The 15,469-nt window shown below is 36.5% G+C and overlaps 1 protein-coding gene across 30 annotated transcripts in view; it reads left to right on the forward strand.

Annotated features, from left to right (window-relative positions):
- MIER1 (MIER1 transcriptional regulator) overlaps positions 1-15,469 on the forward strand; it is a 63,630-nt gene that overhangs the window by 23,609 nt on the left and 24,552 nt on the right. For 29 of the 30 annotated variants that reach the window (NM_001146110.2, NM_001350530.2, NM_020948.4 and 26 more), the window contains 4 exons: positions 9,461-9,622; positions 10,253-10,385; positions 11,081-11,145; positions 14,490-14,562. In NM_001146110.2, the coding sequence (NP_001139582.1) occupies positions 9,461-9,622; positions 10,253-10,385; positions 11,081-11,145; positions 14,490-14,562 (433 nt within the window). Of the gene's footprint in view, positions 1-325; positions 9,623-10,252; positions 10,386-11,080; positions 11,146-14,489; positions 14,563-15,469 lie in introns of those variants that run through there. The other variant, XR_007062438.1, reaches the window with a different exon arrangement.

Consider the following 15,469-nt stretch of genomic DNA (forward strand, 5'->3'; position numbering starts at 1 on the left):
AAGCATATGAAGGGCTGGGCATAGTGGTTTATACCTGTAATCTCAGTACTTCAGAAGGCCAAGGCAGGAGGATTACTTGAGGCCTGGAGGTCAAGACCAGCCTGGGCAACATAGTGAGACCACCATCTCTGCAAAAAATTTTTTAAAAAGGTTAATTAGGCATGGTGGCATGCACCTGTAGGCCCAACACTTCATGAGGCTCAGGTGGGAGGATTGCTGGGGTCCAGGAATCCAAGGCTGCAGTGAGCTATGATAGCACTGCTGCTCTCCAGCCTGGGTGACAGAATAAAAATGTTACTACTATTTACCCTGTTTTATTTTTCAGAGACTGTGTGTCTGAAAACAGGGCACTTGAAGAACTTGAAGTCAGAACTATTGTTTAAAAGTAGGAGGCTGGGAAGCGATTCAAAAACAGTTATAAGGGAAACAGTTGATTTAACAATCATAGTCACTTCATGTATTTGTGAAGTGAGAAGACAATTATTTTCAGTTTGCCTATATTCAGAGAAGATCTATCACTTTATATTTTTTGCTTCTGAATAGCCATCTGTGGGATAAAAGGTACAGTAATAAAATCTTGTATTTTCTGTCTTATATTCTATATTAGCTAAAATACTAATTAGCAAGAGGAAATAAGTAGTTTTCATAATGGGTTATGAGTTAGTTATTTTTTTTCTATTTCAGAAAATGAGATATTTATTACATTTAATTAGTAGAAAATTACTAATGGGCTGTGCTAAAATTTTGGTTATATCATTGCCTTTTCCTGTTTTTCTCTCCTATTCCTTTCCCCAGCCCCATATAGTGCCTTAAAACTTGCTTTCAAGTGACCCTGCCTTAGGAAATAGAAGTTAAAATAGAATTATTTATAGAGATAGGGAAAAAAAGACAGTTGAACCAATCCTTTATCATCCTTTCAACTAGACAGCCTTATACCTTCTCAGATTCTTCTCTGACTTCTCCCAGAAACAATTAAAGCTTTAAGTAGCATAGAATGCTTTTCATCTGTAACCTGAAGCTAAGCAATATTTTGGGGCCAATTTGTTGGATTTCCTAGAGTTATTAACTCTTTAGGTTTGAACCAAACAAAATTCTTGTTGTGTTTATTGAAAAAGTGAATAAGATTTTGTTGTGTTGATTATTGATTTGCTTTTATAGAAGCAAAACATTAGTTATGTCAGGGATTGATAGTGTTTTTCACCTTACACCTTGGTTGCATGAAATGAATTTTTGATGTATTGTGGCAGAACTCTGACATTCATTCAGGAAATATCAATAACTGTATAGCATGTGGTTTTAAGTTCATTCAATTTGAATTCTAGAATTTTTCAGTGAAAACTAACTCGAAAGAAGTTTTGATGTGTATTGTTACATTTGTATGCATGGATTATGACAATATAAAAGATAAGTGTTTTAATAAAATTGGGTGTATAGGTTATTATTTATTGTAGTGATTAGTGATCTTAGAGGGAATGTCAGAATCATTCTCATAGTAAATAAATAGACTTTTGTTTTGTTTTGTTTTTTTGAGACAGAGTCTCACTCTGTTGCCCAGGCTGGAGTGCAGTGGCACGATCTCGGCTCACTGCAACCTCCACCTCCTGGGTTCAAGCAATTCGCCTGCCTCAGCCTCTTGAGTAGCTAGGATTATAGGCATGTGCCACCAAGCCCAGCTAATTTTTGTATTTTTAATAGAGATGAGGTTTCACCATGTTGCCCAGGCTGGTCTCGAACTCCTGGCCTCAAGTGATCTGCCCATCTCAGCCTCCCAAAGTGCTGGGGTTACAGGCGTGAGCTATTGCACCTGGCCATAGATACATTTTTGTTTGCTACAAATAGAAACACTCTAGTTTAACTCTGTTTTCCAAATGAACTCTTTAAACTCAGAGACTCTAAATGGGCACAATTGTGGCAGTCCATTTGGGAAAAGAAAGATCAAGATTGCAATATATTTATGTATTTAGATATATTTTATAAAAATCACACTATAACAGTATCAGTATTTAATACATACTTTTAAAGTGCTAGATGTGTTCCATCCAGAGCTAGAGAATAATTAAAATGTGTGATTAAAATGTGAGAGATTGCAGTATTTTGACGTATACACACAAATTAATTATATAGATAGAAAAGAAATCTCAGTGTGAGGATTATAAAGAAGAGTTCAGTGCCTTCATTCCTATATAGTTTTATCTTCTAGTCAAGCCCCAGCCCCAAGAGATTGGTTACCTTAGGAACCATCTCTCTAGTTCAGTCTGGATGTGGTCCCTTAGGCCTTTTTGGCTGGAAATCTGCCTCTTTCCTTCTTCCTATCTTCATTAGCATTTTATTGGTAAGTCAGTTTTGGTACAACAGGTGTAAGAGTACTATCTACATCCACCAAATGGCCTTGACTTGAAAGTCAGCATCTGCCATTTCTTAATGACTAACCTCCTGATGTGAGGGAGAAGGAGCTAGGAACTAGCACCTCTTCTGCAGCTAGGAGTTGGATGCCACTCCAACCTATAATATGTTAGTGTTTGATAACTTTACCCTATTGTCTTGAAATTAGGGCAGACTTAACTTGAGATATAGTATATAGTGTTTATCCTTTTTGATACAGGGTCTTACTCTGTCACCTTCCCAGGCTCATGTGATCCACCTGCCTCACCTCCCACGTAGCTGGGACTGTAGGCGTGCACCACTATGCCCGGCTAATTTTTTATTTTTTTGTAGAGATGGGGTCTTGCTCTGTTGCCCAGGCTGGTCTTGAACTCCTGTGTGCAAGCAGTCCTCCCACTTCGGCCTCCCAAAGTGCTGGGATGATAGGCGTGAGCCACTGAGTCTGGTCGGTTTATGTTTTTAAAAAGTCCATTTCTCCCACCTTCAGCCAGCCTTCCTTTAGCTTATGCAGACATGATTGCCCTTCCTTTTGTTACAGTGTAAGACAACTCATTTCTTAAAATACAGTCTGCAAATATAGTGTGTATTCCTGTTTTTTTTTTTTAAGTTAATTTTTTAGAGACAGGGTCTCGTTCTGTCGCTCTGGCTGGAGTGCAGTGGTGCAGTCATAGCTCAAGCATCCTTAACTTCCTGCGTTCATGCCTTTCTCTCGCCTCAGCCTCTTGAGTAGCTAGGACTGCAAGTGCATGCCACCGTGCCTGGCTACATTCCTGTATTTTTATTCATCATGTACTATGCCCACTTTCCTTATTTCTCACAGTTTATCAGCCCTCTTATTTCACATTGTAACAGGATGCTGTATACTTAACCTGACGTTAGATTTTGAAGAAGGCAGTATATATGCATATGTACAGAAGGGCAGTGTAAAGCAGTGAGTTAGACTGCCTGGGTTCGTAATCCAGTTCTACTACTTATTTCAGTGTGGGACTTAGGATAGGTTACTTAACATTGTTAAACTTCAGATGTTATTACAAGAATAATATATCTAAAGCGCTTAACATAATATTTGGCACATAATAAACACAAAATAAATCTTAGTTAATGTCATTCATAAGATTCTCAAAAAAGTCTCTGACCTATAACTGAAAATGTACAACTTGCCACATAATTTTTTCTTTCACTCTGTTCTCGCCTTTTTATACTCTTTTAACACTTACGTGAATGGGAATAAAACACTGTGCCACTTTATTGTGATGTTTCAATTTAAGTTGAAGTAAGCCCTTGAGTAACTGGTAGAATGCAGACTTTGGTAATATAAACTAATTAGAAATTCTCTGGAACAGGTGACTGACAGGCCCTGGTACAATAGTATACTACTTTTGGCCAAGTTTTATTCATCCTTAAATCTTTTTTCAGAGGGAAATAACGGAATATTTGCGTTACACGATATCATTACTGTTTATAGCATCAGAATTTGGGGGTGCAGAGACAGAAATCTGTCTGTAACTAGATTACAGACAGTCTAACCTCAAACTAGGTTAGACAAAATGAAGAATTTCATGTAAGTCTCATGGAATTTCATTAAAGGAGGGATATATCTGCTCCCAGGGACTCAAGTGCCACCAGAATTTATTTTCTCTATTTCTGCTTTTCTACATGGTTTACCTCTTTTTGTTTTTGAGACAGGGTCTCACTTTGTCACTCAGGCTGGAGTGCAGCAGTGCGATCTTGGCTCACTGCAGCCTCAGCCTCCCTGGATGAAGCCATCCTCCTGCCTCAGCCCCCCTAGTAGCTGGGACTACGGGCATGCGCTGCCACACCCAGCTAATTCTTTTTGTATTTTTTACATGGACGGTGTTTCGCCATGTTGCCCAGGCTGGTCTCGAACTCCTGAGCTCAAGTGATCTGCCTACCTTGGCCTCCCAAAGTGCTAAGATTACAGGCGTGAGCCGTGTCCCACCTGACTTGTCTTTTCAGACCAACTTTCTTCATATTATGCTGTCAGTTTGTAGGTCTCCCACATTTACTACTTGAGATAGTCTATGCTTCTTTCTTAAGTTGCTGTTGATAAAACTCCAGAAACAAAGTATGGACAAGCTTGGGTCATGTGTCCACTCCAAATCTACGGCCAGGGAATACAGTTATTCCAATTATGTCAGCTACTATGGTCAAGGAGGTGAACTTTCAAGAAAAATAAGTGCTTGGAATGGAAGAAAGAACATTTCATGTGAGAAGACAAGTACAGAAGTAGAGAGTAGGAGAGGCTTGGAGGGGAAATAATAAATAATCCTTACATGATGCTTGTTTATGCTTGCTAAATCTTTACTTCAGTTAGCACAAAGCAGGAACACAAATACATGCTATTGCAATTTGAAACAGGATTCCTCAGCAAAATTGATTCTGATTTTTATTATAGTTGTAGCCCGGAGTTTGCTGCAAGATTTTCACTTTTACCTTAGATTAAATAAGAGACTTTTTATACTGTCGTGCTTCAACTTGTATTTTTGGTGGTGATGATTTTTTCTTTGTTGCTTACTAAGCTGATATTACTCACTTGATATTGGGTGACAGCTTGAGTTACAAGTTTAATACTAGTAAGTAAGCATTTTCTTTTCCTTTTTTTTTTTTTTTTAATATTCTTGAGACAGGGTCTCACTCTGTTGCCCAGGCTGGAGTGCAGTGACACAATCTCAGCTCACTGCAGCCCCTGCCTCCTGGGTTCAAGCAGTTCTCCTGCCTCAGCCTCCTGAGTAGCTGGGATTACATGCCCACACCACCATGCCTGGCTAACTTTTGTATTTTTAGTAGAGTTGGGGTTCCACCATGTTGGCCAGGCCGGTCTTGAACTCCTGATCTCAAGTGATCTGTCCCCCTCAGTCTCCCAAAGTACTGGGATTACAGGTGTGAGCCACTGCACCCAGCATAAGTAAGCATTTTCTTGATTGAATAAGTAAGGGTATTTTTTTTCCATGTGATAAAGCCCATCTAAAAATAACGTTGTGTAAAAATAAACTATTAGAAGGTATATGAAAGTGTAGTTGGGTACAAGGAATATATGGAACCAGGGATTCAGCATCACCAGGACCTCCATCTCTCCTAATCCCTGGTTGAATCCTGTTGCATCTCTTCAATTTTTTCTTTTCCACAACCACTAATTTAATTTAGGTTCTGATCATAATACAGGTGAATGTGTAGTGAATGATAGCAGTGGATTCCCACATGGCAAGCAAACTAAATCTTCCCCTGCCTAAGTTCACGTTGAGTGTTTTGTTGTGTGTGTAATTTCCCCTAAATACTTCCAGAGTGTCAGTAACTATTCAGTACGCTCAAATTGAGTCAGGAGTATAACAGAAGCCTTTAAAAATTACGTAAAACTAGAGAAAGTAGGTAAAAATAGTAATCCTGACTTTCATTAATCTATAACTGATCTTTCAGTAATGTATGGCCTTCTGAAATGATACTTTGTTTTTAGTTACTGTAAATGGTATGTCTGCTCTAATCAGGGTGACTGGCTTATTCATTTTTGTTTCTGTACCATACATTTGTCATTTGCTCTGACTTGAATGACTTTTCTCCATCTGTGCCAGTTCTATTACGATTGTAATTCAAGCATTTCCCCTCTAAATGCACTGTGATCAGGCTACTTTTGACTCTCTCTGTTCTCTGCTTAGTCAATATTGGAGGTGTTGGAGAATTTTTCTTTGAGAAATGAATTTTTTTCTTTTTCCTTTTTTTTTTTTCTTGAGACAGAGTCTCAACTCTGTCACCCAGGCTGGAGTGCAGTGGCATGATCTCAGCTCACTGCAACCTCTGCTTCCTGCGTTCAAGCAATTCTCCTGCCTCAGCCTCCTCAGTAGCTGGGACTACAGGTGTGCACCACCATGCCTGGCTAATTGTTTTGTAATTTTAGTGGAGATGGGGTTTTGCCTTGTTGGCCAGGCTGGTCTCGAACTCCTGACCTCAAGTGTTCTGCCAGCCTCAGCCTCCCAAAGTGCTGGGATTACAGGCGTGAGCCACTGCGCTTGGCCTGAGAAATGAATTTTTACAAAGTGAGTCACACTTCTTATCTGTATATCCAGGAGGGAAAAACCTTAATCTATGATTGTCAGACATTCTACATTCTTGATAATGGTTAAAAAAGAAAAATTCTTTTTCCATGTAGTTAGTATGTCACCTATCCTTTTGACAAATATTTGAGCTGGATATCATATGTCATACGATAAGCTTTATTAAAGTTAATGTTCAAGCTTTATTACCTCCCATTGGAAAGGGTGATTTGCAGGTATCTTATCCCAGACCTGTGAGATCAGTGGTTTTCAAGGTAGTCTCATACCAGCAGCATTAGCATCACCTGAGTTTTTTTTTTTTTTTTTTTTTTTTTTTTAATTGCAGGTACTCGGGCCTCACTGGAGACTTACTAGGTCAGAAAGTTGGGTGAGGCTCAGCAGCCCATTTTAGTAAGCCCTCAAGGTAATTCTGATACCCTTAATAAGACAGACCAATCGTAGAGAGCCTGAGGGCATTTGTTTGGTTGCTAATACACCTTTTTTTGGAGTGAACGAAGTACCATGATCTTGTCAGAAGATGAGTTCAAAATAGAGCATGGCTATGTAATTAGCTGTGTGGTTTCAAAGGATTAGTTATAACACAGTTATAAAAATTAAAGGTAGTGGTTAACAGGATAGTTTTGAGGATCAAATAAATAATGAAACAAGCTTTTCATGAACTCTTAAGGCCTATGTAAATTTCAGTTGCAAACTGTTAACGCTTATGTTTTTTTCCTTTTGGGGCCCTTATTCATACTAGTGACTTCAGTGGCTTTTATTCACAATAGTGATCAGTTGCTAAACTTGCTTCTGATTTTGGGGTGCAGGATATGAGCTTAAGAAACGTTACATGACCTGAGATTAGGAGGTCTGGGTATTATAATAAAGTATCAGTGCCTGACGTTTCTCTGCCTGGTTTCCTTATTTGCAAATAAAGGTAGCAAGCACTCCATTTGGTACTTCTAAAGATCTAATGAAATTGTGTGTGTTGACACTGCTTTCATGGTTGCAAGAGAAAAAGACAGTGAAATCAAAGCATCTATCATAAATGCCTGACACATAGAAGATACTTTATGACAGCTATTTGTTATTCTTGTATATAAAACTAGCTTTAGGCTGGGCACGGTGGCTCATGTTTCCAATCCTACATTTTGGGAAGCCAAGGTGGGCAGATCGCTTGCATCCAGGTGTTTGAGACCAGCCTGGGCAACATGGTGAAACCCTTCTCTATGAAAAATACAAAAATTAGCCAGGCATGGTGGTGCACATGTATAGTCCCAGATACTTGGGAGGCTGAGGTGGGAGGATCATTTGAAGGTTGAGGCTGCAGTGAGCAGTGATCATGCCACTGCACTCCAGCCTGGGTGACAGAGCAAGATCCTGTCTCAAAAAATAAATCTAGCCTTTTCATTATATTTCTCTTACTACACTTCTATCTCTTATTTTGAAGTTTTGTTTTAGTTCCTGAGTATTGACTCTCCAGATTCCCAAATACCAATGTCCTGTACCAGATTCTTGGTACATGGACCAGATACTTGAACACTTAAAGCACTGTTGGTGTTGTACTTTGAGAGACACAGTGTAAGAGCTGTCATTTGTTTGCCAGCTGGTTATTTAGCTAGAGTGGCAATACCTTGCCTTGATAAAGTTACCGCTTTTCAGGTTGTAGCTTCTGCAAATCATTAGGGGTCTTGGAATTGATTTATCTTTCAGAAATAGATTCACAAACTCATTCATAACCAGAATATCCATTTGTAATGGGAAATAGAAGTTTTGGATGACAGTTTCTTCCTAGTTCTTCCTAAGAAAATCTTTTCAAATGATAATCATTAATTTCTTCCCACACATGGATTTTGAGTGATGCAGGTTAATTGTATCATCTAATCCAGTCTGATTTACCCATATCCATTGTAGCAATGTGTTTAACACATGAGCTAGACTTACTTCTTTCCATGACTGCTGGAGAAACATAAACCATGTCTTATTTCATGATTACCCTTTTTTTTCTAGCTTCTAAACTGATTGTTTTCTGACTGTTTTGCTTCAGACCATGTGCATTGTATGTGGGTGTGCATGAGTGTATAATATGTTCACATGATTTGGATTAAATTTTCTTTTTATAATCAGAATTCTGTTATGTTTCCCTGATGCTGTGCATTTCTTGTTTACTGGTTAGAGTGAGTAGTTTGTATAGAAAGCTGATTTCATTTCATTGTGTATGGACATTTCTTTTTCATCCACGGAGGGTCTGATTTTTGTGGGGATTGAGGGAAGTCCCTGCCCAAGGCACCATGGTGTATTGATATGAATATGGGCTTTTGGAGTTAGACTGTTTAAATCTGGCTCTACTACTTGTAACTTGTGTGATTTGTGAAGAAATGCTTAACCTGTCAGCCTCTGTTTTCGCATCTATGAAATGGAAATAATATAACAAGTCCGTATGATAGATGGTAAGGATTTCATGAGATGATTTTATATGTAAATGGAGATAACCATAGAGAAGAATATATGGTTAATGTAGTCCATTATCATTTCTGTATATTACTACTGGTTTGTTTGTGTTTTTTTTTTTTTTTTTTTTCATGTGTTCGGGCTGAGCTCTGAATTTTCGTCTGCCTTTCTGGGTTTGTTAACTTATAGTCTATTTCTCATTGTTCTATTTCTCCACCCTCAAGTTAAGTATGGTACTCTTATTAAGAGTGGGCATCCATGCATAGCGTTAACTGTCATTGTGCATATACTGAATTGATTGCAAAAAGAATAGTCCATGTTAGACCAAGGCCACTTTTTAATTATACTTAAAGATCTTGTTGTCAGCAATTATAACTGGTTCATTTTATAGAAATACTTAAAAGATTGGGATATTCCTAGGTTTCAGAAATATTTTCAGTTTTACTTTTTATGATCCGAGAATTCGTAACACAGCTTTTATTCTTCACTATAGAATGAATACTCCACAGATTTGTGGATTATAGCCTGGGAATCAGAAATATCACTGATTCAGAGATTACCTTTTATTTTGATTTATTTAGGAAGGCGACATGCCAATTCATGAACTTCTCAGCCTTTATGGTTATGGTAGTACTGTTCGACTACCTGAAGAAGATGAGGAAGAGGAAGAAGAGGAAGAAGAAGGTGAAGATGATGAAGATGCTGATAATGATGACAACAGTGGCTGTAGTGGGGAAAATAAAGTAAGTCTATATACATATATTTAAGATTGTAGTCTTTATTCTTGTTGAAGTTAAAATTGCTTAATATATTTTGATTACTTGTCTTTATAATCTTTTCCTGATTTTAAAAGTGTTAAAAATTAAGATATTACAGAAATACATAATATAAAAATTGGAAATCCCCTGTAATTTACTCCTGAGGTAACAGTTTGGTCTTGTCATTTCAGGTTTCTTTTTTTCCAGTGCTTATTCTAATTAATTTATACCAACTTTCTAAAAAAATGCTATTGCTTTTAAATAATAAAGGCTAATTGGCAGTTTGTGTTTATTTTTCTTACTTTATTTTGAAATAATTTTAGATTTATAAAAGGTTTAAAGTTAGTATAGAACGTTCCTGTATACTCTTACCTCAACTTCTGCTAAGGTTAACATCTTGGTACAGTGCTATTAACTAAACTGCAGATTGAATTATACCAGTTTTTCTGCTAATGTACTTTTTCCTGTTGCAGGAACCAACCCAGAGGATGATACTACATCTAGTATATTCATTTTAGTCTTCTGCATATATTAGAACAAAATTTATATGCTATGGTCTTTCATCTGCAACTGTTTTCCTTACATCTTAGAGAAATTTAATTTATTATTCCACAGGAGGAGAATATAAAGGATTCATCAGGTCAGGAGGATGAAACTCAGTCTTCCAATGATGATCCATCACAATCTGTTGCTTCTCAAGATGCCCAGGAAATAATCCGCCCACGTCGATGTAAATATTTTGATACAAGTAAGTGTTACTGGTTGATAATATTTGAATATAATTTTTACTATTTTAGGTATTACCTAAAATCCTCTTTTTTAAACTGGTCTTTGAATTCATTTAGTCTGAAATTCTTTTCAACAGTAAATGGATTTTGTTGTAAGTTATTAGTTTAGCAATGCAGGGTCCCTGTTGTTAGTGAATATACTATGGTAATTGTGTCATGTACTACTTGACTTTGGGTGTATTTGTTTTTTCTTTGCCCTGTTTTTAAATGTTTGTTTCATGGTCATCTTTTTGTTTCTCATAGTCTTTCCCTTAGTTTCCATTTTTTACTTTCTTTGCCTCTTAGCCTTTTTTAGGTATATTCATAAATACACCTAAATTTCTCTACTTTAAAAGGAAGAAAAACACTTGAAGAAAAATAAACTGTCATGAAATATGTAGTAAGATAATATTATCTTTATTCTAAATCAGTTTTTTCCCCTAAGTTTTTATAGGAAATCATTTCATGAGAATACAATTATGTAGAAAGTTTATGGTTTTTTTGGTTTTGTTTTTTTAAGTGATAGGGTGTTAATTATTTGGTTAGAAATATCTTGGCTTAATTCATTAGATATCTTTGAGCATATCCAAATATTTGATGGTAGATGTAAAAATAATATGTAGATTTAGACAGGATAAGCAGTCATTTTATAGTATTGGTGTCTTATTTATTCTAGATAGTGAAGTAGAAGAAGAATCTGAAGAAGATGAAGATTATATTCCATCAGAAGACTGGAAAAAGGTAGTTAGAACAATATTTTCCCAAAATTTAGATAAATTAATATTTTTTTAAAAAGCCTCGTGTAATTATTTTTTTTTTTACTAACTATGTATATTGATAAAATCGATGTAAGCCCTTTTATGACATTTAAATGTTTGGTAAATGTTCAGATTCCTTCTTAACACATCTAGGTTAGATTAGAAATCTACATTTCTGGCGGGGTGTGGTGGCTCACGCCTGTTATCCCAGCACTTGGGAGGCTGAGGCAGGCGGATCGCTTGAGCCCAGGAGTTCGAGACCAGCCTGGGCAGCGTTGCGGGACCCTGTCTCATTTTATAAAACAAAACAAAAAATAAATAAAACAGAAATCCACATTTCTGATTTAGTCCTGAACTAGTGCCAAATTAGGCATTTGTTGCCCTGTAAAAAGTATCACGTATATGTTTTTCAATATTATGGAAAGCATTTGTGGAGGCTTTGATATTTGTTAAGTAAATTTTGTTTAGTAGTTCATATTGCAAGTTTTTCATTCTGTATTACTTTATAAAAGAAAAACTCTCCAAATGATTGAATTTAATGTTGACATTTACAACTGATAAGCTTATTATATGAAGAAACAGATTTGGCTTCTTCGTAACTATATACAATTAATTTCTGAAATGAATCTAAAGATAATATATTGAGATTAGTTTTTAATTATAAAATTATATAGCATATAATTAATCATACAGTTAAGTTAAAGAATTGTAAGTTATTGTAAAAGAACTGAGCTCTTAGGAAAAATCTATCTAAACATTATGTAGAATTAGCTGGTTGCAGTGATGTTTCCCCTGTTGTCCCAGCTACTTGGGAGGCTGAGGTAGGGAGAATCACTTCAGCCCAGGAGTTTGAGACCAGGCTGGGCAACATAGTGAGACCCCATGTCTTCAAAAAAATTTTTTATGTAGAACTGGTTAAAACAAAGAAATAATGTTATTTTTGTTGAGAGACAAGGTTAGCCCAGTTTACGGTATGTGTTAATTTGAGCAAATGATGGGACTCGACAGAAAACAAGAATCACAAAAGTTAATTTGTGTGGCCTATTTGGGCAAGGGTTCTTTCATCCTGTTTTTAATCTGATTCCTACAGTGTGCAGAAATTAAGATGAAAAAAGCTAGAAACCTTGGGAGTCCTTATAAATTGCTGTCCCACTTCATATTCAAGTTTATGTATCTTCAACATGTGTTGTTTTTTAATCTGGAGTGTTCAGTAGAGTATTTGATTAAGCATTCAGTGTTTTTTTTTTAAATGAAAGAACAAAAGCTCAGAGGTAGAACACCTCTCATTGCTGGAGGGTATTAATTACCCACACCTTACTCAGAAAGGGTATTAATTAACCACACCTTTCTCAGAAAAAAATTATGTAATAAAGCAGGCCAGAGTAAATGCAGATTGTTTTCTTTCAGTATGATTTTGTTGTTTTAAATAATTGTCAAGGTTCAGAGATTCATTTTTTTTTAAGACTTATAAGATGAAATTGAGTTTTTATAGAAACTTAAGGTAGGGGAAACAGTTTTGAAGTCAAACCTGAATTTTAGTTGTAGCTCTAGAACTTAGTAATTGTGTGCTCCTGAGAAAATCAAATTTTTGAGCTTCATCTTCTTACATATAGTATGGGAATAACAATGTCAGCCTTATGGGGCTTGCTGAAAGATTAAAGGAAAATTGCATATATGATATGTTAACACATAATGATCTTCAAAGCTATTTCCCTTCCCTTCCCTGTACTACCGAACAAATTAACAGATGAAAAGAAATGTTCAGAACTGAACAGGAAAAAGGAAGTACCTATCTTTAAACTAATCCAGATGTTCTCAACCCTGTTTTTATGTTAGAATCATTTGGATAACTTAGATGTACTGACTACCAGGGCCTTCATTCATAGATTCTAATTTAATTGTCCTGCAGTGGATCCAGGCATTGATGGTTTAGAAGCACCCCAGCCAGGGTTAGTAACTTGACAATGTTCTTTGGTAGGCCTAGGTGAGTTAAGTTAAAAGAGGCACAAGATGTGACAATAAAGGACTCTTTTTATAGTAGAAGACATAAAGAGAATTCCATTGTAAGGGTAGAGAAAATTTGTTGTAAGTTTGATTCTTTTTAGAAAACTGATCATGAGAAAGATTGGTTTTTCTTATGGGTATAGAAATAACTTTATTACATAAAGCACGTCTTTGAAGTTGTACTGGATAAAATGAGCTCCTCACATCAGTGAGGTAACAATAGCAGGAGAGAGACTTTCCAAATCCTAAGAGTTACCAAAACTTCTAGACCATGATTTTGTACCTTTCATGCCCAATTTTGAAAATGTCAGTAAATGTGTTCTTAACATTTAGCCATCACACAAAAGAGGGTTCATGTAATCTTGGTCTCCTTGCATTGTGAAATTTCACCAGTGGTAGTTTGCAGTTGCTTTTGAGAACATCCAGTTTCACCTAATCTGTGATTTGACTGTATAGATATGATTACTGGATTTCCTATTTAATTATATTTGTGGGAGGAGGTTACTTTTTCATTTTGTATTGTTTTAATGAAAGTCAAGCCATAACCTGCTTATCTATTTCATTTAGAGTTTCTTTCATTTGGCCCCTACTGAGCTTTATACAAACCCTTTTTGTTATTTTTCCTACTTTGAAGCTCTGTTTTTCAGACTTCAGTCTATGTCAGAATCACCTAGAGAGCTTGTTAAAATACCAATGACTGAGTCCTGTCCCCAGAGTTTCAGTAGGTTTGGGGTGGGACCTGAGCATTTGCATTTCTAACAGTTTCCCATTAGCTGTGTGTGGTGGCATGTGCCTGTAGTCCCAGCTACTCAGAGACTGAGGTGAGAGAATTGCTTGAGCCTGGGAGGTCGAGGCTGCAGTGAGCCATGATCACTCCAGCCTAGGTGACAGAGCAAGACCCTGTCTCAAAAAAACAAAAATTTCATAGATGACACTGATGCTGCTCATATAGGGATCATATTTAAGACCACTGTCTTAAGTGTAGATACTCTGAAAATATCTGAATTTGACTTTGTGTTTTACATGTTTTGCAGTTGTCTTACTAATGGAATTATCAGAATTCACTTCTTTGTCTCTATATTTTGAAATAAAGTTTGTATTTATTGTTTACGTTGCATTTCACCTCAGTATTATTACTAATATTTTCATCCAGTCATTATTTGTCATTCATCTTCACAAAGGTACCTCTGAGGTAGTTAATTGGTTGTTTTTGTATTTTATGACAGAGAAACCAGGAACAGTTTACTAAGATGGTAAGGCTAGAAAATGGATATAAAATCTGTTACTAGATCTTACTAATGTTTTATGTTATTTTTAAAATAGGAGATTATGGTGGGCTCCATGTTTCAAGCAGAAATTCCAGTTGGCATTTGTAGATACAAAGAAAATGAAAAAGGTGGGTTATTAGTAAAGTTACGTAGCTGAATTTATGCTTTCAGTGTAATGAACTGTTACTTTATATGTAAAATGTGATAAGAACATGACAGCCTACTAAGTAACCCCATTGTAACCCCATTGGTTTGTGAAAGAGGACCCTTCATTATTTCTGTGAGAAGAATGTGTGTACTCAATTTTTTCAGTTTGGTCTATAGAAGCCTAGCCAAAAAAGGAAAAAGTGAATGCTTTTTTTCATTTTAAAGTGACTTACAATGTCTCAACAGTTTTTTTTACTTTTTTCCCCGTATTTTCAGTGCTCTAAACTTTAACCCTTCTCTAATCTTTATAATTTAGTTTTTAGAAGTCCATTTTATATCAATGAAAGGCATAAAAACAAACGAGAGTAAATAACTGATATAAACAGCTTATTTGCTCCTGAAACTTTCACTAAGCAAAATGGAGTGCTTATTAAAATGGAGTACTTTGGACCAGGTGCCGTGGCTCACGCCTGTAATCCCAGCACTTTGGGAGGCTGAGGCAGGCGGATCATGAGGTCAGGAGTTCGAGACCAGCCTGACCAACATGGTGAAACCCCGTCTCTACTAAAAATACAAAAATTAGCCTGGCGTCGTGGCGCGCACCTGTAATCCCAGCTACTCAGGAGGCTGAGTCAGGAGAATCACTTGAACCCAGGAGGCAGAGGTTGCAGTGAGCCAGTATCGCACCACTGCACTCCAGCCTGGGTGACAGAGCAAGACTCCGTCTGAGGAAAAAAATAAAGAAAATGGATTACTTTGATGCTTGTGTTTTAAAAATAATTTGGGAAAACAACTTTTGTATACTTAAATTTTACATGTTTTTTTTTTTCCATTTCATTTCATTTGAAAGTCCTGAAGTAAGTCATACTTCCAATAACATACAATACT

This window comes from Homo sapiens, chromosome 1 (assembly GCF_000001405.40).
Source record: "Homo sapiens chromosome 1, GRCh38.p14 Primary Assembly".
In the NCBI taxonomy this organism is placed as follows: domain Eukaryota; kingdom Metazoa; phylum Chordata; class Mammalia; order Primates; family Hominidae; genus Homo; species Homo sapiens.